The 21,434-nt window shown below is 42.3% G+C and overlaps 1 protein-coding gene across 3 annotated transcripts in view, besides 2 other annotated features; it reads right to left on the bottom strand.

Annotated features, from left to right (window-relative positions):
* Window positions 1–21,434, bottom strand: part of ARFGEF3 (ARFGEF family member 3) — a 182,725-nt gene that overhangs the window by 13,496 nt on the left and 147,795 nt on the right. For all 3 annotated transcript variants that reach the window (XR_001743524.2, NM_020340.5, XM_047419108.1), the window contains 8 exons: window positions 19,658–19,761; window positions 17,229–17,373; window positions 13,789–13,917; window positions 11,289–11,465; window positions 9,943–10,057; window positions 7,395–7,497; window positions 7,014–7,145; window positions 3,026–3,147 (listed from right to left, as the gene is read on the bottom strand). Coding sequence is in view for 2 of the 3 variants with exons in the window: in NM_020340.5 (NP_065073.3) it covers window positions 3,026–3,147; window positions 7,014–7,145; window positions 7,395–7,497; window positions 9,943–10,057; window positions 11,289–11,465; window positions 13,789–13,917; window positions 17,229–17,373; window positions 19,658–19,761 (1,027 nt within the window). In the remaining variant the exon portion in view is untranslated. The remainder of the gene's footprint in view (window positions 1–3,025; window positions 3,148–7,013; window positions 7,146–7,394; window positions 7,498–9,942; window positions 10,058–11,288; window positions 11,466–13,788; window positions 13,918–17,228; window positions 17,374–19,657; window positions 19,762–21,434) is intronic.
* Window positions 41–1,014: an enhancer, noted in NCBI's record as "NANOG-H3K27ac-H3K4me1 hESC enhancer chr6:138651291-138652264 (GRCh37/hg19 assembly coordinates)". NCBI's record gives its function as "activates a minimal SCP1, AML or CMV promoter by ChIP-STARR-seq in primed H9 embryonic stem cells {active_cell/tissue: H9 hESC(primed)}" and the evidence as "EXISTENCE:reporter gene assay evidence [ECO:0000049][PMID:30033119]".
* Window positions 1,015–1,988: an enhancer, noted in NCBI's record as "NANOG-H3K27ac-H3K4me1 hESC enhancer chr6:138650317-138651290 (GRCh37/hg19 assembly coordinates)". NCBI's record gives its function as "activates a minimal SCP1, AML or CMV promoter by ChIP-STARR-seq in primed H9 embryonic stem cells {active_cell/tissue: H9 hESC(primed)}" and the evidence as "EXISTENCE:reporter gene assay evidence [ECO:0000049][PMID:30033119]".

Here is a 21,434-nt window from a genome sequence, read left to right as displayed (position 1 = left end):
CCTTTTAAAACCAATAACATAAGGACATTAGGCTGTTCTATGTTTTATTTATAACTTGAATGCAGCCTATTATTCCTTTTTCCTACTTTTAAATCAAAAATATTTCAGCAAGAATAATTGGCTGAATGTGAATTAGAAATAGGAAAAAAGGAAGAAAAGAACTGAAATTCTGAAGTAAATCAATGCTTAAAGATGTCAAAGGATTGCACAATCTTTGGTATATAAAATAGATTAAAAATGGCCAACACTTCAAAATTAGTGACTGGTGGTTGAGGGAAACGGGCTAGAATTGGTAGAGTTCTATTCCTGAAGTTGGGTGACAGGTTCACATTTACTTTTTATTCCTGCTTCATAACTTTTGAACATTCCACATTTTTTTGGTATGTACCAATAATTGACCCCAAAAATTATTACCTAGAAATTTCACCCAAATGATTGATTGTTATATTAATCAAACTGACCTGCTAACCTGGCAAACTTTTTGTTTGTTGGTTTTTTGAGATGAAATCTTGCTCTGCCATCCAGGCTGGAGTGCAGTGGCGTGATCTCGGCTCACTGCAACCTCTGCCTCCTGGGTTCAAGCGATTCTCCTGCCTCAGCCTCCTGAGTAGCTGGGATTACAGGCATGAGCCAGCACGCCTGGCCCAGCTAACTTTGGACAAATCACCCAGAGGTTGTGAAACGATACCAATTATCTTTGTTTGGGCTGCCGTTAACAAATACCATAGACTGGGTGGCTTACAAACAACAGAAATTGGATTCCTATAGTTCTAGAGGTTGGATGCCTGAGATCAGACCTGGTGAAGGCCCTCTTCCAGAATACAGGTGACCATCTTCTCCATGAATCCTCACACGGCAGAAAGAGGGCAAGGGAGCTGTCTCTTAAGGGCATGATTCCCATTCATGAGGGCTCCACCCTCATGACCAAATTTCCTCCTGAAGGTGCCACTGTCAGGCCTCTGAGCCCAAGCTAAGCCATCATGTCCCCTGTGACCTGCACGTACACATCCAGATGGCTGGTTCCTGCCTTAACTGATGACATTCCACCACAAAAGAAGTGAAAATGGCCTGTTCCTGCCTTAACTATGACATTATCTTGTGAAATTCCTTCTCCTGGCTCATCCTGGCTCAAAAGCTCCCCTACTGAGCACCTTGTGACCCCCACTCCTGCCTGCCAGAGAACAACCCCCCTTTTTCCTTTACCTACCCAAATCCTATAAAACGGCCCCACCCCTATCTCCCTTCGCTGACTCTCTTTTCTGACTCAGCCCGCCTGCACCCAGGTGAAATAAACAGCCTTGTTGCTCACACAAAGCCTGTTTGGTGGTCTCTTCACACAGACGTGCATGAAAGCCACCTAACATCACATTGGGGGATAGGCGTAACCACATCAATGTGGGGGGACACATTCTGTCCACTGCAGCAACTCTGTCCTTGAAATGGGAAAGGGCAGAGGCCTTATGTTCAACCAAACCCAGTTTGTTTTTTTGTTTGTTTGGTTTTTGAGACAGAGTCTCACTCTATCACCCAGGCTGGAGTGCAGTGGCGTGATCTCAGCTCACTGCAGCCTCCGCCTTCTGGGTTCAAGCGATTCTCCTGCCTCAGTCTCCTGAGTAGCTGGGACTACAGGTGCATGCCATCATGCCTGGCTAATTTTTGTATTTTTAGCAGAGACGGGGTTTCACCATGTTGGCCAGGCTGGTCTGAAACTCCTGACCTCAGGTGATCTGTCTGCCTTGGGTCCTAAAGTGCTCGGATTATAGGTATGAGCCATTGCGCCCAGCCCAGAGCCAGTTTTGATTCTGACTCCACCTCTTTGCAGTTGTGTGTCCTTGGGCAAAGGACCCAAGCCTCTCTGTATGTGCCCTCAGGGGTGAAATGGGAGTAGGAATACCTATCCACTGTGTTTCATATACAGTGCTCAAATACTTGGTATTACTATTAACGTGTCAGAAGTTTAAAAGTGGGAAATGTTGGTCATTGCCTTCATCTTCAAGTCTAGGAACCATATTTTTAAGGGAGGATGATAGTGTTTAAAAAGGGCAAGTTTCTTGGGGCAGAGCATAGACCTTTTTGTCTCCCAATAGCCATCATTGTTCCTGGGGAGGTTTATGTGCTTCCCACTGAAACAATCAGAACCATGCCTCAATTTACTTTTTATTTTTTTAAATTAGGCAAGGTTTTGTTCTGTTGCCCAGGCTGGAGTGCAGTGGCATAATCGTGGCCCCCTACAGCCTTGGCCTCCTGGGCTCAAGTGATCCTCCCACCTCAGCTTCCTGAGTAGCTGGGACTACAGGCATGCGCCATCATGCTTGGCTAAATTTTTATTTTTTTACTTTTTTGTAGAGATGGCTCTTACTATGTTACTCAGACTAGTCTCAAACTTCTGAGCTTAAGTGATCCTCCTGCGGTTCTGGGATTACAGTTGTGAACAACCATGCCTGGCCTATTTTTTTTTAAGATTATAAGTGTATGACATCATGGGTTGGGCTGTGTTCCCCCAAATTCCTATGTTGAAGTCCTAACCCCTGGTACCTCAGAATGTGACTATATTTGGAGAAGAGGTCTTTTAAGAGGTAATTAAGTCAAAATGAGGTCGTGAGGGTTAGTTTTAATTAAATATGACTGGTGTCTCTATAAGAGGAGGAAATTGAGACATAGACCTGTACAGAGGAAGTCCATGTTAAGACACAGGAAGAAAATGGTCATCTACAGGTCAAGGAGATAGACCTCGGAGGAAACCTTCATATCTGACTTCTAGGCACCAGAAATGTGGGATATATGGTTCTGCTGTTTGAGTCACCCAGTCTGTGGTACTTTCTGTGGCAGCCCGGATAACCTAATATGTATGAAATGTGGGTAATTTGGTTACAAGGCTAACAGTTTTTATGAAAACCTTTGCTAAATGACTCCACAAATGTTTTCAGTATTTCTGGCCAAAGCTCAGATTACAATGTGTGAGAACTGGAAGTGAATGAACATTCTTATTTATAAGCACCCTATGAGTTGAGATTTAGGTACTTACCTTTTCTTGGTGTGTCCATTTGGTTTTTCATCAGGAGGCAGCTCAATAATGAGCTGGCAGGACTGAGCGTGGTCAAAGTTGTTTGGTGTCTTTGGTGAGCACTGGGTGTCCAGCATAAACACCTGTATGGGGGTGCAAAGGTACATTTCAGAACTCCAGTGTCCTCTGCTTGACCTGTCAGGGATCAGCTGGATGACCCTGGGCAAGTTGAGCCTCATCTATAAAATGAGGATAATGGTTTCCTATTTGATATGTTTGTTGAGAGAGTTAATTGATATGTGTGTATTACATATGCAAAGCATTAGAACAGAGGAGTAAATAATCAGGGTTAGCCGTTGACACTAATACCAGCAATGCTACTAGTTCTACCATGTGACAATTCATTATACCCCAAATAGCAGGTATTGACACTTAATATTAACTACAAGTAAATAAAGAGGGGCTTTGTAAAAGATTATCTCTGATTTTTGAGTCTTTGGTATCATATTCAACACAGGGATGAAAAAGGAGTTGGGACTTCTGTCAGGATTACTGATGGTTACTGATAGGGCCACAGTGTTCTACTAGGCATGGCAGATGTGACTAAGAAAATAGTGAGCACTTACTGGATCTCTGACCCAAATGATTTTCTTTTACATGACTTAAAATACTTTCACTACTTTCCTCTGGAAATATTAGAATATATATATTTTTTGAAACAGGGTCTCACTCTGTTGTCCAGGCTGGAGTGCAGTGGTATGATCATGGCTCACTGCAGCCTCAACGTCCCAGGCTCGAGTGATCCTCCCACCTTAAACCCTCGAGTAGCTGAGTAGCTGGGACCACAGGTGTGCACCACTATGCCCAGCTATTTTTAAAAATTTTTTCCTTTCTTTTTCAAGTTTTAAGTTTGGGGTCCATGTGCAGGATGTACAGGTTTCTTACATAGGTAAACATGTGTCATGGTGGCTTACTGCACAAGTCATCCCATCACCCAGGTATTAAGCCTAGCATGCATTAGCTGTTCTTGCTGATGCTCTCATGCTCTCCCTCCCCCGTTCCCCACAGGTGCCCAGTGTGTGTTGTTCTTTGCCATGTGTCCATGCATTCTCATCAATCAGCTCCCACTTATAAGTGAGAACATGCAGTGTTTGGTTTTCTGTCCCTGCGTTAGTTTGCTGAGGATAATGGCCTCCAACTCCATCCAGGTTCCTGCAAAGGACATGATCTCATTCCTTTTTATGACTGCATAGTATTCCGTGCACCACATTTTCTTTATCCAGTTTATCATTTATGGGCATTGGGGTTGATTCCATGTATTTGTTATTGTAAATAGTTCTGCAGTGAACATACATGTGCATGTATCTTTATAAGAGAATGATTTATATTCCTTTGGGTATATGCCCAGTAATGGGATTGCTGGGTCAAATGATATTTCTGCCTCTGGGTCTTTGAGGAATCACCACACTGTCTTCCACAATGGTTAAACTAATTTATACTCCCGCCAACAGTATAAAAGCGTTACTTTTTCTCTACGACCTCACCAGCACCTATTGTTTTTTGACTTTTTACTAATAGCCATTCTGAGTGAGATGGTATCTCATGGTGGTTTTGATTTGCATTTCTCTAATGCAGTGATGTTGAGCTTTTTTCATATGTTGGCCGCATGTATGTCTTCTTTTGAGAAGTGTCTGTTCAAGTCCTTTACCCACTTTTTAATGGAGTTGTTTTCTCCTTGTAAATTTAAGAGATGGAGTCTTATGGTATTGCCTAGGCTGGTCTTGCACTCCTGGGCTCAAGCAATCCTCCTGCCTTGGCTGCCCAAAGTGCTGGGATTACAGGCATGAGCCACCATGCCCGGCAAGACTAGAATACTTTAAAAATATTTTCTTTCAAAATCTTGTAAGAATTATCAGATTTTTGAATAATGAGTTATTTTAAGAGTGAATACATAAGGAAAATTTGGGATTGAGGAAGAAATAGAGAAGTATTAAGAAGTGAAAGATGGGCCAGGTGCAGTGGCTCATGCCTGTAATCCCAGCACTTTGGGAGGCTGAGGTGGGTGGATGACTTGAGGTCTGGAGTTTGAGACCAGCCTGGCCAACATGGCGAAACTCCGTCTCTGCTAAAAATGCAAAAATTAGCTGGGTGTGGTGGTGCACACCTGTAATCCCAGCTACTCAGGAGGCTGAGGCAGGAGAATCACTTGAACCTGGAGGTAGAGGTTGCTGTGAGCCGAGATCACACCCTGCACTCCAGCCTGGGTGATTGATAGAGCAAGTCTCAAAAAAGAAAAAACAAACAAACAACAACAACAACAAAAACAACAGAAAAACAGAAAAAGAAGTGAAAGATTCACTAAACAGCTCTTGCTGTTCTTCTCCATTGATGATCTATTTCAGAAGATCCCATTGACTTTTTCATATTTTTGTTGTATGATTGGACAGGGTTGCAGAGACCACTGTGTGCACACGTGCAAATGCTTTAGCCAGACGTAACAACTGCATATTTACAGAAGCTATCCCTTTGGAGGGCCACTTTCTTGGTTTCTCTGTTCTCACTTCTAGCTACACCATTGCTGCAGCAGCTCCAACTGCCATGCTGCTAGAAGTGGCTCTTCATTGCGGCCTTACAACCTTTCTTCTGTCCCAACTTCTTCAGACTGGCCACGGAGGCTTCAGTGGGATGTGCTCCCTTCCTTCAGAACCAGCAGAATCATGAAGTCCCAGATGTCAGGCATGTGTTCAGCAGAGATGTGAGAAACTGAAGGTAGAAGGTTCTTGTCCCACTACCTCAGGACAGCTGGGAAAAGCCCCAAAGAAGCCAGACCTGGCTAAGAAACTTCTCAACTGACTGAGTTCTTTACATGGGTAATCAGGGGATCCTAGATTATCAGTGTGCTAATAGAAAATTTTATTAAGAATTTAAACAGATCTGGTAGAGAAAAGGGGCCTTCCCTTTTGAGTATAACCTCCAACTCATTTCTTCAAATTTAACTCAAATGTGACAGTTCAATTACATTCATAAAACTTGTTTAATATTTTAAATACATACCATGCATACACATACATAGGCATATGCAAAATAGTTTCTTCATATGAAGACCCAATTCAGGCATGTCTGTTGCTATTACATGATGGAATATTTAGCCAGTCAATGGTTATTGGAAATTTATTCCATTTCCCTTTTTCACTACTGTGAACAGCATGGTTATGAATATATGTGAATTCGGGGATGGCATTTAGCAGGACTGCTGCTGAGAGTCACGTCCAGGGTTTCCTAGCGGCAGACTGCCATGTCACTTAAGAGCTTAGGGTATATCTGTAGCTCGTGATACTACTATATTCTTCTGATATTTCTGTGATTCAGTAACCTATTGATTCAACAAAGACATACTAAGCATCTTCTCTAGGCTTTGCTCTAAAAATACCAAGGTAAATATACAGAATGTGTTCTCTGCTCCTCAGGAGCTGACAACCAAATTTTGTGACTTCTTACACGTGTCTCAAGAAGGAAAAGCCATTGGTATATGATGATTCCTGCATGAGTGAATACACTTGAATTTTAATGTTACATTCAACTCAAATTTATTAAGCAACTTTTAAATGTTAAGTTCTGTGTTGTGAATGAAAGATATAAGAAAAAAGCCCAAATAAGTTTGCCATTGTTAGGCACTCATAGTCTAGCAGTAACAATAACAGTTAAGCAAATACTTACAGGTAGCTCAAGCAAGTTACCTATAAAGGACAGTGGCGAGGCTGCTGAAAGGGTTCTATTTGATCTGGGCACTGGAGGATGCAACAAATGAGATGATGGACAGGAGGTAATGCTGTTGATTGGGTTCATGTCATTTCTGGCAAAGAATGGTAGTGGCAAGAGTTGGGAGCTACAAGGTGTATGTCCCTCAGGGAATGAAAGGCAATTTGGTGATGCGAGACCTTCAAGGAAGGTCTCCCAACATGCACTTCGAGTTTCTAGAGCTCCTGAGATCAAAAGCCCCTGCCCTTACCTGCTGGGCCATGGCTCGGATGCGCCAGTACTCGGCCTCGGCACTTGGGGAGGAGGACGGGGCCGCCACTCGCACCTGGCAGCCTTCCCCGCTGAAGCTCTCCGTGCCGCTGTGGAAGCAGCCCAGCAGGTCCTGGGGAGAAACAGCAGATGCTCACTGAATGCATCCTGGTTCATGGGCCGGGCTCAGTCTTGGATCTGAGATCGTCACTGTGTCTGAGACAAAAGTACTGACCCAGCAACTTCTTTCTCACTCTCTGCAAGATCTAAAGTGAGACTGCCTGCTCAGAGGAGGCAGAACCCATGTGCCCAACATGGTAAGGGATCAGGAGCTAAAGATGGTTAGAACTGTGCCAGGGAGGGCTTCCTCCCAGTGATGTACCTTCACTGGCTTGAGTGTGGCAGAGAACGCATCTTGCAGGGCACAGCAGGCAAGCCTCCACATCTCCTCAGTGAACACAGGGCCCGCTGTCACAAGGACGTATCTGCCAAAAGAAACAAGTAAAGGAGTTTTTTTTTTGTTGTTGTTGTTGTTTGTTTTTTTCAGATGGAGTTTTGCTCTTGTTGCCCAGCCTGGAGTGCACTGGCATGATCTTGGCTCACTGCAACCTCCATCTCCCGGGTTCAAGCAATTCTCCTGCCTCAGCCTCCCGAGTAGCTGGGATTACAGGCATGCGCCTCCATGCCTGGCTAATTTTGTATTTTTAGTAGAGATGGGGTTTCTCCATGTTGGTCAGGCTGGCCTCGAACTCCCATCCTCAGGTGATCTACCCACCTCGGCCTCCCAACGTGCTGATATTATAGGTGTGGGACACCGCGCCCGGCCACAAAGGAGTCTTGAATTCCATTTTGTTGCCACAAAATTTAGGCCATATGGGCTCATGCACAGGTTTATTCTGCAGCTCCCTGCCAAGTCTCCTTGTCTCTCAACCATCCAGTATTCCATTGTCAAAATACTACTTCCTAAACCATTTTAATATAGAAATATCAACGGATCCCCTCTACAAATAGGCCAATCATTAAACGTAGACTTGTATGCAAGACTGCATATATTCTGTAGTGATTTTTGGATTCTAGTTCCATTTTCCATCACTCCTCTACAAGCAAAACCAAACCCCAAACTCTTATCTCAATGCTATTTTGTTCTTCTGCTTGGAAAGTCCCCACCTCCCCCATGCCTGTCCACCTTGGAGGATGTGACCAGTGTCACTGCTACAACGAGGTCCTTGCTTCACTGTCACCATTTTTCATGTGACCCGCCCTCCCATGTGCCTGGCTTATTTCACTTAGCATAATAACCTCCAGTTCCCTCTATGTTGTTGTAAATGACAGAATCCCTTTTTTTTTTTTTTTCTTTTTTTGAGACTGAATCTTGCTCTGTTGCCCAGGCTGGAGTGCAGTGGTGCCATCTCGTCTTACTGCAACCTCTGCCTCCCGGGTTCAAGCAATTCTCCTGCCTCAGCCTCCTGAGTAGCTGGGACTACAGGCGCCCGCCACCACACCCGGCTAATTTTTGTATTTTTAGTAGAGACAGGGTTTCATCATATTGGCCAGGCTAGTCTCGAACTCCTGACCTTGTGATCTGCCTGCCTCGGCCTCCCAAAGTGCTGAGAATCCCATTATTTTTTATGGCTGAATAGTACTCCATTTTGTGTATGTACCACATTTCCTTTATGCATTCATCTGTTGATGGACACTGATACAGTTTGGCTGTGTCCCTCCCCAAATCTCATCTTGAATTCCCATGTGTTGTGGGAGGGACCCCGTGAGAGGTAACTGAATCATCGGGCCGGGTCTTTCCCATGCTGTTATAGTGAATAAGTCTCATGAGATCTGATGGTTATAATGAGTTCTCCTTGAGCCAGTCGTATAGTTGCAGTCCAAGTCTGAAAGCCTGAGAACGGGGAGATGTAAGTACAGTCCAGGGGCAGGAGAAGATTGATGTTCCAGCTCAAACAGTCAGGCAGGCAAAGTACCCTCTTACTTGGCCTTTTTGTTCTATTCAGGTCTTCAACTGATTGGACGAGGCCCACCCACATTAGGGAGGGCCATCTGCTCTGCTATCTCCACCAATTCAAATGTTCTTCTCATCCAGAAACACCCCCAGAGACACACCCACAATAATGTTTGGCCAAATGTCTGGGTACCCTGTGGCCCTGAGCAAGCTCTCTCTTTGCCTGCCACCATCCATTAAGATGTGACTTGCTCCTCCTTGCCTTCCGCCATGATTGTGAGGCCTCCCCAGCCACGTGGAACTGTAAGTCCATTAAAGCTCTTTTTCTTCCCAGTCTTGGGTGTGTCTTTATCAGCAGCATGAAAATGGACTAATACTGATACTTATTAGGTTGCTTCCAAATTTTGACTATTGTGAACATGGGAGTACAGCTATCTCTTTGATATAATTATTTTCCTTCTTTGGAGTATATACCCAGCAATGGGATTGCTGATTGTATGATACCTCTATTTTTAGTTTGAAGAGCCTCCAAACTGTTCTCCATAGTGGTTGTACTAATTTACATTCCCACCAACAGTGTACGAGGGTTCCCTTTTCTCCACATCCTCTCCAGCATTTGTTATTACCTGTCTTTTGGATAAGCTATTTTAGGTGGGATGAGATGATATCTCATTGTACATTCAATTTGCGTTTCTCTTATGATCACTGATGCTGAGCACCTTTTCATATACCTGTTTGCCTTCTGTATGTCTTTGAGAAACTGAACCAGAATACTTTGTATAATGTCTTATACAATACACATTTGCTGACTGAACACTGAAATGAAGAATTATTAGCACAGTCATTTTTAATTACAAAAGTCTACTTACAGAAAGCAATCCAAAAAGTCGATTCCTACCACAAAGACAATTTAATTTCTTTAGATTTTTAAATAAAAACTCCAGCTTTGTGGAGAGTCAGGAAAGCATTTCCTCACCTAATACAGGAGCAGCCCACTCTGGAGATGGTTTCAGTGGGCTTGGCCACACAGGCGACCAGCAACTCAAAGAGGTCCTTCAGCATGGTATTGATCATGCTCTCGTACCTGATATCTATGGGAAACAGCAAAATCACAGTTTCACACAGCTCTAGTGTAAAGGGGTAGATTGAAATGGCCATCTATAGCAACAGAGGAAAGTCTGAATGATAAGCAAATATCTGGGAAAAAGAAATAGAACAATGAGAAAAATGGCCATATCCTCCTCCTGCCCCCCCCCGCCAAAACCCAGTAAAACAATAATTTTCTTGGATTTTTACCCAATTTCAGCATGTTTCATCCACTTCTACAGAAATAAAAATGAAATATGCAGTTCACTTTTATGTGTTGCAGTATCACAGTCTCACACTGTGCAAAGCAATGACCCAGCCAGGAACATGTGGCTACCCTTAGGGATATGGTTACCAGTTACCACCTACATGTGGAAAAACTCACTTGTTTTCTTTCACAATTGGTGTTCTTTTTTGGCAGGGTAAATTGTCCTTGCTAAACTTAATAGAGACACAGTTTCTTTTATTAGCTTTGTTAGTCTCCCCTGGGGTCAACATCCTCCTTAGTTTCTCTGTCCTCTCCAGCAAGGGAACCTCTTCCCTTACACCATGATATGCCAGTCCTTCGAGTTATAAGCTCTGTGGGTAGCAGCAATGTTTCTTCTGCTCCCGGACACCCACATCTTCACACATGTGGCTCCACTGGGACCACAGTGAACACATCCCCTGCCTCTAGGTCCCTCTCCATCTGCTGACTTCAGCATACTGTCCATCCCACACTTTCACAGCCTTTACAAAGTGCCATCAATATTAAGAAATTTCTCTTCATCCCTAGCCTGTTAAGCTACTTCTTGCCCACAATGGAAGCCTTTTCTAAAACCCTGCCTCCTCCATTTAGCCTCCCCAGATGAAGCAGGGTGACAGGCTATACCCGCTACCCCCCCACAGGCTACGGGGATATTGCTGCTTCTTCTTTTTTTCTTTTTTATATACTTGAATTCGCCTCCCTTCTCCTAATGCACAGGTACCCCAGACCTCTTATTAGGTATTTTATTTTCTACCACACATATATTTTGAGCATTCGGTTTGAAAATTTTGTAGAAGACACATGGGTATGAATTTTCTCTTTGAAAATCTATTAGAAGGCTGGCACTGACCATGTTGTTCTATTTTAATAATTCCCAGGACAAAAACCCTGCATTCGTATTTGCATTAGGTATTTACTACACCGTTTTAGCTGACGGTGCTGTCTACCAAAGAAATACCCAGAATGAACTGCTCTGGCACTTCAGATACCTGAATGTAGAAAGCTTTGAATGTGCTCCACCACCAGCTCACAGGACAGACCAATAGCGTGCTTGAAATTGGCAGAGGCCATATCCCAGTAGGAATGGTCTTTATGGCTCCGGCGGAGCCAAACGGACATCACAGGAAGGAGGAGGTGAACCACTGCATAGATACCAAACCCTGGTCCTGAAAAAGAAAAGTCAGCGTAGCAACAACCTGTAATAAAAGGGAAGCTCTTTGCCTCCACCTGGCATTGTTGATCTCTTTGGAAGGATCCCTACATTTGCTGAGAAAGTGCAGGGAAAAATAATTTACTGCTGATGGGGGAATATATGGTCTTCAGTGGCATTTTTCCTTTTTTTTTCTGCGGGGTTTTAGTTATGTGAGCAATATGTGAATATACTCCTAAAACATTCAAATATTGCTGGTAAAGCTAAAATATCACCTGCTCAACTCCTAGGACCTAAATGTAAACACACAAATACACATGTGTGTATAAGAAAATACCCTTTGAAATCATACATTTATGAAATCTAACTACATGGGGAAATATTTTATATAAAGGAGATAATGTAAACTTCGGTCTGCATACTCATTTTTTTTTTTTTTTAACTTAACAATAGTGTTTGTTAGAGCTGGCCACAGTAGTGTACACCTGTAATCTCACCTACTCTGCAGGCTGAGGCGTGAGGATTGCTTAATTAAGCCCAGTAGTTTAAGACTAGCTTGGGCGACATTGTGAAATCCCTTCTCAAAAAAAAAAAAAAAAATTAGCTGGGCATTGTGGAGTGCTGGTAGCCTCGGCAACTTGGGAGGCTGAGGTGGAAGGATCGCTTGAGCCCAGGAATTTGAGACTGCAGTGAGCTATGATCACACCACTTGCTCCAGCCTGGCAAGACCTCCATTTCGCAGAAAACCCCAAAAGTGTGAGATTATTCTTTGTCAGCAAATTTGCATATTCCTCATTTTTATTGCCACATACTATTTCTATTGTATTTACGTACAGCAGTTTACTTATCCATTTCCTTACTGATGAATATTTAAGGTGTTTCTAATTTTTTTGTTTTATAGACTATGCTATAATGAAAATCATTGTGCTTCTTTGTTCAACATTGTGGAAATGTTGATGAGTTTTTGAAGTTATGATTACAAAAGCAAAGCATCCATTTTATAATAAACATGGAAATTACATGAGAATACAAGAAAAAACTCATCTAGAGATAATCACATTTTGATGTATTTCCTTTTAGGACTTTTGGAATGCATGTGTGTTTGTATTTATAATTGCATAAAATTTCATATAGTTGAGATTGCACTCCATAGTATGTGCATTTTAACATAATGCTTTGTAAGTAATTATTCACGTCATTAAATATTATTCACAAATATTAATTTTAACGCCTGCAGAATATTTACATGCTTTTACCACAATTAACTGCTTCCCATTTAGGGTGTTCATAATTTTTGGTATTCAAGATGTTTCAGCAAACATCTTATATATACAATTTTGTCTTTATTATTGATAATTTCCTTAGATGACAGGCTCCTAGGAACAAAAGTGGATTAAATGCTCTTCACACACATTTAGTGGCAATCAATGTGAAAGCAGAAAATGGTACTGATGAGTAAAACAGATTTAGAAATAGTGGTTTGCAATTCTATAAAATACCTACTTATTCTTTGATGGAAGGCTTTTAACTTTTTAACGTGGCAGTATCTATGGTGTTTTTTAAAAAATAATATAAACTTTGCTATAGATTTTGAAACGGTATCAATTATCAAGTCTTCATTATAATGAGTACAGACCTCCTCTTAGTAAGAAAGTGGCTTCATTTAGGGTCTGATTGTTAGTAAAATACTTAAATTTCTATTAAAAAAGTTTCTTTGATCTTGAGAAATTGGCATGTATAAATGTATATACTAAAATTGATTAATTCACAACAAGAAATAAATTCCTAAAAGTCATTCTTTTCTCATACTCTCAGGGTCCTTGTACTAGGCAAGGACTATATGTCTTTTTCCAAATCTAATCACCTATGACCCTTACACAAACGGGGTGTTGCTGCCTTAATACCGCATATAGCTGAAAGTGGTTTATATTACTGGAAGACCCAGTAAGCCCAACCAACAGCCCAAGGGCCAAGAGCATGTGACTGTGAGATCCTGCCACAAAGGAAGGCTGTGACCATGGAAATAGCAAAGCCAAATGGTTCTTGGAGACGCTGATACCATAGCCTTGGTCTGATTAATGTGGAGCTCCTACACATCCAACTAACTGGCCACCACACGATACTTGTAACCAGACTTCTAGGAAGACATGTAAACAATACACAGGCCATACCTTAAGCATCACTACCATTCAACAAACATTTATTGAGCACCTCTTACGTGTGAGCTTTGTACTAAGTCTAGGAAACAGTGAAAACAGGCAGACACCTGCAGAAATACCCTCTTGAAAAGAGTTACATGTATAACCACTCCCCCAAAAGACGGACACAGAAATATTTACCTGGTGTTTTCGTCACATCTCTCAACAGCTCAAAGAGTAAATCCAGAGTTGGTGGTTGGTGCTGCCGTGGACAATTGGACACAGCCGCTGTCAGCTGCTCCAGCAGGATTATCCAGACTTCTATCAGACCTGGAAACCAAAAAGCAGACCTGTATGAAATCCAGTTAGACACAATGAATAATCATCTCAAGATCCAATTAAACATTGTATGTAAACTGCCAAGTGCTATACAGACGTGAGCCATCACCCAGTGTTGTTAGCCTTCAGTGGCCATAGACATGAACAGATGATGATTTATGTGGTCTGACAAAGTCAAGGGGAAAAATACTGCTCACATTTCCTTCTCCTTCCCCTTTAATAAAAAGGTGATAGGTTAAGGAAATTCTACCATCTTGAAATGGCTGTCAGGTTTCCTGGGAGCTGATGATACCAAATAAGCTATCCATCCAGTTCTATCACCTTCATCTATCTTTTTTTAAAAAATGATTTTATTGTGGTAAATATATAGAACAGAAAAAGCCATTTTAGCCATTTCTACGAGTACAATTCAGAGGTATTCATGACAACAATGTTGTGCGACTATCACTACTGTTTCCAAGATGTTTTCATCTCAAACAGAAACCCTGGAGCTATTAAACAGTTACTCTCCTTTCTTCCTCGCTCCAGTCCCTGGTACCTCTAATGTACTATAAATTATGATTGATTTTGGGTGTGATAGTGGTGTCATGTTTATGTTTGTTATCTTTAAAGAACACACACTGAAACATCTACAGATGAAATGCTATGTTGAGGATTTGCCTTAACCTATGGAGAAAGAGGAAGAGAGAGCAAAGATATACATGATCCAAGATTAGCCATAAATTGATAGTAGTTGAAGCTAGGTGATAAGTCTGTTATATTATTCTGTTTAGTTCTGTATATTCTACATATGTATATCTGTATATGTATATATTTTGTATATTCAAAATATACAAGTTTTGTATATGTTTGAAATTTCTATAAGAGGAAAAATGTAATTATTTGCCTTTGAAAACCAGCGGAATAATATCTGATAATGTAATGTATCAATGTTGAGGATTAATTTTTTAAAACTAAAGCTATTACTGATTTTTGTTCTGATTTACTATGTCTACATAATGATAACTTTAAAGTCCTAGTTACATTGATTATGTAGAAAACTTAGATAGGTGCTGGATGGAACTGTATCCCTTAGAAGATGGGGTTCCTAGAAAAAAAAATCAAAGATTTGCACAAATGGGAAAGAGAATGCTCGACGTTACATACCCAACCGTTTACAACTGTTTAAAAGAATGTATTATAGATAAACAACATTAGCTTCTGCTTATAATTATCTGGGTTTGAGGTTTAAAATGCTAAGTAAAAATTGTTCTTATCTAATCATTAAACTGAAACCTCTATTAGATAATCTCTAGCCAACTTTCAATACTTTAATTGTTCTCTATATTAGATATTCTTTCCTGTAATTATTCCTCACAACTAATCTGAACTTGTGAGAATTTTTTTTTTTTTGAGATGCAGTCTCGCTTTGTCACCCAGTCTAGAGTGCAGTGGCGCAATCTCGGCTCACTGCAACCTCCACCTCCCGGGTTCAAGCGATTCTCTGCTTCAGCCTCCCAAGTAGCTGGGATTACAGGCGCCCCCCCACCACGCTTGACTAATTTTTGTATTTTTAGTAGATACTGGGTTTCACCATGTTGGCCAGGCTGGTCTTGAACTCCTGACCTCGTGATCCACCGGCCTCGGCCTCCCAAAGTGTTGGGATTAGAGGCATGAGCCACCGCGCCTGGCCTGAACTTGTGAGACTTTGTTGTTTATCATCTCCATCGAAAATTTTAAATCTCCTAGCCACCCCCACAAAATTTGTAACAGCAAAATAAAACAAAAAACCTTCCCCTCAAAAGTCCTTTTATAAAGGAGTTTGAAATAACCTATACCCAGAAGTTAGACCTATTTGAGGGTATGATATCCAATTCTAGATGTAGAACAGGACAGGGTCTTCTGAGACAGAAGACAGAAGGTGTGAGCATGAGTTAATCTATCTGAAAATGATCCACAGTTACTAGTTTGAACTCTGATTCACAGGAGATCACATGGGACCTAATTGGAAACAAATTCTTTAAAATCATTGTTTTGATGAGCCTTCAGCTTCAACAGTCACAAATAGAGTCTCTCTTTAGTAATGGCTTAATTTCCCCAGTCTCTAACCAAATAGTCCTGTAAGAAGTAATTATATAATGATTTGTTTTCTAAAAGATACTAAAAGACAATTATCAGCCAATTTAAGTACTTAGGCACCAATGGAACTTCATTCCAATTTGCTAAAGTCAAGAGAATTGAGAGTTAGAAACTACTTAAGTGGAATCTGCAAATTTGCAGTAGTTTTAGACAGAGGAATCCATTTTAAAAGGATGGGTATAGAGGCATCCATTGTAAAGTGATGTTTTTGGAAAGTCCATGGAAACTTTAAGCAGACTTATTGTGATAGAATTATAAAAAATAACTACAAAAATAGATGCTCATTCTTATGATCTATGCTACGGTTTGAATATTTCCCCCGAAGTTCACATGTTCATGGCAAGTGCAGTAAAAGATGATTCTGGAGTCTTACAATTTAATGTCTGCTCTGCTGTGTTTTTGGGCTCACCTGGGGCATGTTGCTCCTGTCTTGCCTATTTCTCCCCCTTTAGAACGTGAATGTCTATCCTATGCCTTCCTACCATTGTATTTTGGAAGCATGCAATTTGTTAATTTCACAGGCCCACAGCTGGAGAGGAATTTGCTTTGGAATGAATCATGCCTTTGGTCTCAACTGTACCTGATTTAGATGAGACTCTTGAGTTGGTGCTGAAACAAGTTAAGGCTTTGGGACTATTGGGATGGCATTAATGTATTCCGCATGTGAGAAGAACCTCAATTTTGGGGGCCAGAGTGGAATGCTATGGTTTGAATGTGTCCCCCAACATTCATGTGTTGGAAACTTTATCCATAATGCAACAGTGTTAACAGGTGGGACCTTTAAGAGGTGATTAGGTCATGAGGGCTCTGTACTCATGAATGGATTAATATTGTTATCATGAACGTGAGTTAGTATCTTGGGAGTGGGTTCCTGATCAAAGCATGACTTTGGTCCCCCTGCCTCTCCCCACCACCCTGAACTCCTTGAGTGCTCTCTTGCCCTTCCTCTTGGGATGATACAGCAAGAGGGCCCTCATCAGAGGCAAGCCCCTCAACTTTTGGCTTCTCAGCCTCCAGAACTGTAAGAAATAAATCTGCTATTTATCACTCTCAAGTATTCTCTTATAGCAGCACAAAATGGACTAAGACAATTCCCAGAAGCTTAAGGTACTTCATTTATGACTTAAGCTTCTGGGAATATGAACACAGCAAATAACCTAGTTTAGTCCAATCAATTAGCTTACCGGTGTCATCATCAAAATCAGACAGGACTGATTCAATTCCATCCTCACTGCTGGCTGACTGTTCCTGAAGTCTTCGAGGCAAGCCGGCAAGTCTCCCACTAAGGAATATTGGCTTCAAGGGCATTTTGTAGATTTTGGCCAATAACTAAATTAAAATAAAAAGACAAACTGCAATTATATGTTGGAAAAAGCTGCATTGTGGGTTTTAAAGAATAATGAAATTATACACTAGTACTAAAAGGAGATGGGAAACTAGACATTGAAAATTTGATTATTCGTGATTTGGATTTATAAGGGTAGCTTACAAGAGGCATCTATCCCATGAAGCAGATGAAATAGCATACAATGGCAACAAAAAAGTAGAGGGAAAAAGGATCCTATGGATAATTGTTCAGTATCTTAATTACATATGAGTTCTATAGACTTTTATAAACCTACCGAAGGAACCATGAAACATGTCCAGAATTTTTGCCTAAGCGAATAAGTGTTCTGTGGGGCTCACTGAGAAGACAGTCCACAGGCAAATGAGATACCAGACTCTGATTTCTCCTTCCCTTGACTCAACCTCTGAAGAAACACAGGGGCAAGAGCAGTTGGAGAAATGAAGGAGGCTGGGACCAGGAGGGAGAGAGGAAGGTCTCAGAAGCAGAGCCAGCAGAGTGGCCTGGGTTCTTTAGTCCCCTCTTGGGACTAGCGCCCAGGCACCCGTGAGCTCTCTGTTACTGGGACAGACTTCCAAAGATCCTTATGTCTTAATGAATTAATTAGAATCCTGCCATGCCCACATTGTTCAAGGAACCAGGGCTGTGAGCAAACAGACAAAATTCCTGTTCTGGTGGGTCTCACCAACTACAATCCTTTCTAAAATAATCAAATTCCAGACATAAATGCTACAGGAAAAACTAAACAGGTGGTACTAGAAATAGTGAAGGCTGGGCCTGGTGGGTTATGCCTGTCATCCTAGCACTTTGGGAGGCCGAGGCTGGCGGATCACTTGAGATCTGGAGTTCAAGACCAGCCTGGACAACATGGCGAAACCCCGTCTCTACTAAAAATACAAAAATTAGCTGGGTGTGGTGGCGCATGCCTGTAATCCCAGCTACTCGGGAGGCTGAAGCAGGAGAATCGCTTGAACCTGGGAGGCAGAGGTTGTAGTGAGCTGAGATCATGCCACTGCACACCAGCCTGGGCAACAGAGCAACTGTGCAAACAAACAAACAAACAAAAAAGTGGGGGATCTTGGCAGGAATTGGCAGATCCTTTAGCCCTGTGCTCTGAGGAGGTAACGTTTCAGATTAGATCTGGGAGATAAAGAGTGGCACCTAGAATCTGGGGAGAGAGTCCCAGCAGAGGAAGCAGAGATGGCCCTGCACAGCAGTGAGCAGGTGTATTTCCGGGAGGGCAGAAGCTCAGCGTAGCTATAGCACTGTGAGTAAGAGGGAAGGATGTGAGGGTGGAAAGGGAGCCGGGCAGGGGTCGCGTCATATGGGGCCTGGGGGAGGCAGCTGGATGGAGAAGCCAGGGCCGCATGTCCCTTTTAAAGCCATGGGCTCAATGCTATCACCCAGGAAGAGGTTGTACATAGATCCCCAAAGAGATCCAGGGACACCACCTGAGAAGACAGGTGAGAAAATATTGAGAGAGGGGTGTCACTGAAGCTTAGAGACAAACGGCCTCAGGGAGGGGGCATGGTGTCAGGCAGAGGATGGACCCAACGATGGTCACTGCTCACTTTGACAAGTGCTGTTTTATTCTCTTTACTAGATTAAAAAAAATTTTTTTTTGAGACAGAGTCTTGCTCTGTCACCCAGGCCGGAGTGCAATGGCATGATCTCAGTTCACTGCAACCTACACCTCCTGGGTTGAAGCAATTCTCCTGCCTCAGCCTCCCCAGTAGCTGAGATTACAGGCGCATGCCACCACGCCTAGCTAGTTTTTGTATTATTACTAGAGACGGGATTTTACCATGTTGTCCAGGCTGGTCTTGAACTCCTGACCTCAGGTAATCCACCCATCTCTGCTAGATGATCTTGACTGAGCATGTCTTTCTTTTATTAATGTCCCTCTTCACTGCTTGCACCCCTGTCCTCCACTTTTTGGTGCCCTCAGGAAGACTTCTCATGACCTAGTGACCCCTTCCCCTAAAACCTCATGCAAATATAGAGATTCCAGTAGTTCAGGCATCTGAGCGTGAGGGAAAAGTTTCAGAGACCTCAGCATCCAATTGTGGGTTCTAGTATGTTTTCATTATTTTCTTTCCTTCATGGAAAAAGGAGGGACAAAAATGTATACTCCACATCTGCGCCCCAATCTCCTCAGACGGCAAAGTGTCTCTCTCGGGCTTCAGCAAAAGACCCCCCACGCATGTTTTGGCAGCATGTTCCGAGGCAGGTTTCCAGGCCGGGAGCCCAGCTGGACCATTCCCCTACCTGAGAGCAGCGCCTGAGGTAATCCAGGGCCGGGAGGCACAGGTCTGTGGACGGGGCTCCGGGTGCTGGGGCACAGTCTCCAATCTCTTTACAGTCCACCTCCCCTAGGGGCGGCACGGGAGACAGAGACCAACAGTGTTACCCTTGCGTGCCCCCCTGTAACAGGAGACCTGTTTACTCACATAGCACTAGTACACCAAATATCTATTAAAAGAGAGTGGGAGAAAAGGAGAAAAATGACTCCAAATTGCACAACCCTGAGGAAAATCCTTTCAGCCATTCTCCCAGCTGCATGTGCACATGTTAAATACAGTTGGGACCATACCTTTCCTATCATTTTGTTGAGATTATATGGTTGGTAACTCACCCTTCCACTAAACAATCAACATTTCCTCTCTCTTCTACCACAGTACTTTCAGTGGCTGGATGGTGTTCCTTTGTACATGGGCACATGGTAAATGACATTTCTGGGACCTGCTGTTGGATGGAGTGACTTTTGATGACAAAGGACAATCCCAGAGACAAGTCCTGGATTGGGCTGGAATGAAGCGCTTCTCTCTCTCCATTTGGAAAAGGATTTCTTTCCCTGCCAGTGCGTGGCACTAAATGCTGATGATAAATGAGGTCTCTGGGAAGAGTCTAAACATCTGGGGTTTAGGGACAGAGACTACTTAATTGCATTTAAATGATTTTTCTATTTTTTGTACATATCTAGAGATTTAACATGTCTGTAGAGCGGTATCTAGGTTTTTCTGTAAGAGTGTAACTGAATTATTATAATTTTTCTTCTCGAATCTATTTCTATACATTTAATCAAATCATTTCATGTACTGTAATTGTTTCTAATTGTCTACAATTGTAAGAGCTAGAACCCTCCCATGTGAGTAAACAGACCTAATTACTAGGCATTAGTTAAAATTCAGAAGCAAAGAGGCATGTTTCTCCTTAAAAAAAACAAAAAACATTTCTTAGGTTTTCGAGCAAGGGTTAGCAAATGTTTTTGGCAAAGGGCCAGAGAGTAAATACTTCAGGCTTTGCAGGTCATACTGTCTTTATTGCAACCGCTCAACTCTGCCTGGTAGTATGGAAGCAGCCATCGACAAATGAACATGGCTATGTTTTAATAAAACTGTATTTATAAAAACTGTGGGCCATAGCTTGCCAAATCCTGGTTTAGATGAACACATTTTATAATATAAAAACACAGACCAGGTCAAATTCATGTTGAAATAAGCAGGTGGGAATTAACAATAAATTCATTTCCTATCCACGATTACAGCAGGCGTCCCAAAATTTAGACTGTGGCCGCTGTGTATTTGAACGCATCCAAGTCTATGTGAATGGCACTCCCTGGAGCCAGGCAGGACACAGGCACCATGACTATACAAGGGGCTCTGCCTTTTCCACTGATCCCAGGCCCCAAACAAATAATTCCACTTTAGAATTCACAGAAGAAAACACAGGCTGTTTTCAATGTCCTCTATGTGATGGTTTATTTTAGATGTCAACTTGGCTGGATTAGGGGAGACCCAGATCACTGATAGAGCATGATTTCTGGGTGTGTCTGTGAGGTTGGTTCTGGAAGAGGCTGGCATTTGAATCAGACTGAGTAAGGGAGCTCCACCCTCACCCAGTGTAGGCAGACACCATCTAATCAGCCAAGGCCCAGGAGAACAAAAGGCAGAGAAAAGGAGAATTCTCTGTGTCTCTGTCTCTGGAGCTGGGATATCCTTCTCTTGTCTTAGAACTACAGGTTCTCGAGCCTCTGGCTTTGGAT

This window comes from Homo sapiens, chromosome 6 (assembly GCF_000001405.40).
Source record: "Homo sapiens chromosome 6, GRCh38.p14 Primary Assembly".
Taxonomy (NCBI): domain Eukaryota; kingdom Metazoa; phylum Chordata; class Mammalia; order Primates; family Hominidae; genus Homo; species Homo sapiens.
The sequence above is the reverse complement of the archived record's forward strand: the minus strand, read 5'-3'. Positions and strand labels throughout refer to the sequence as shown.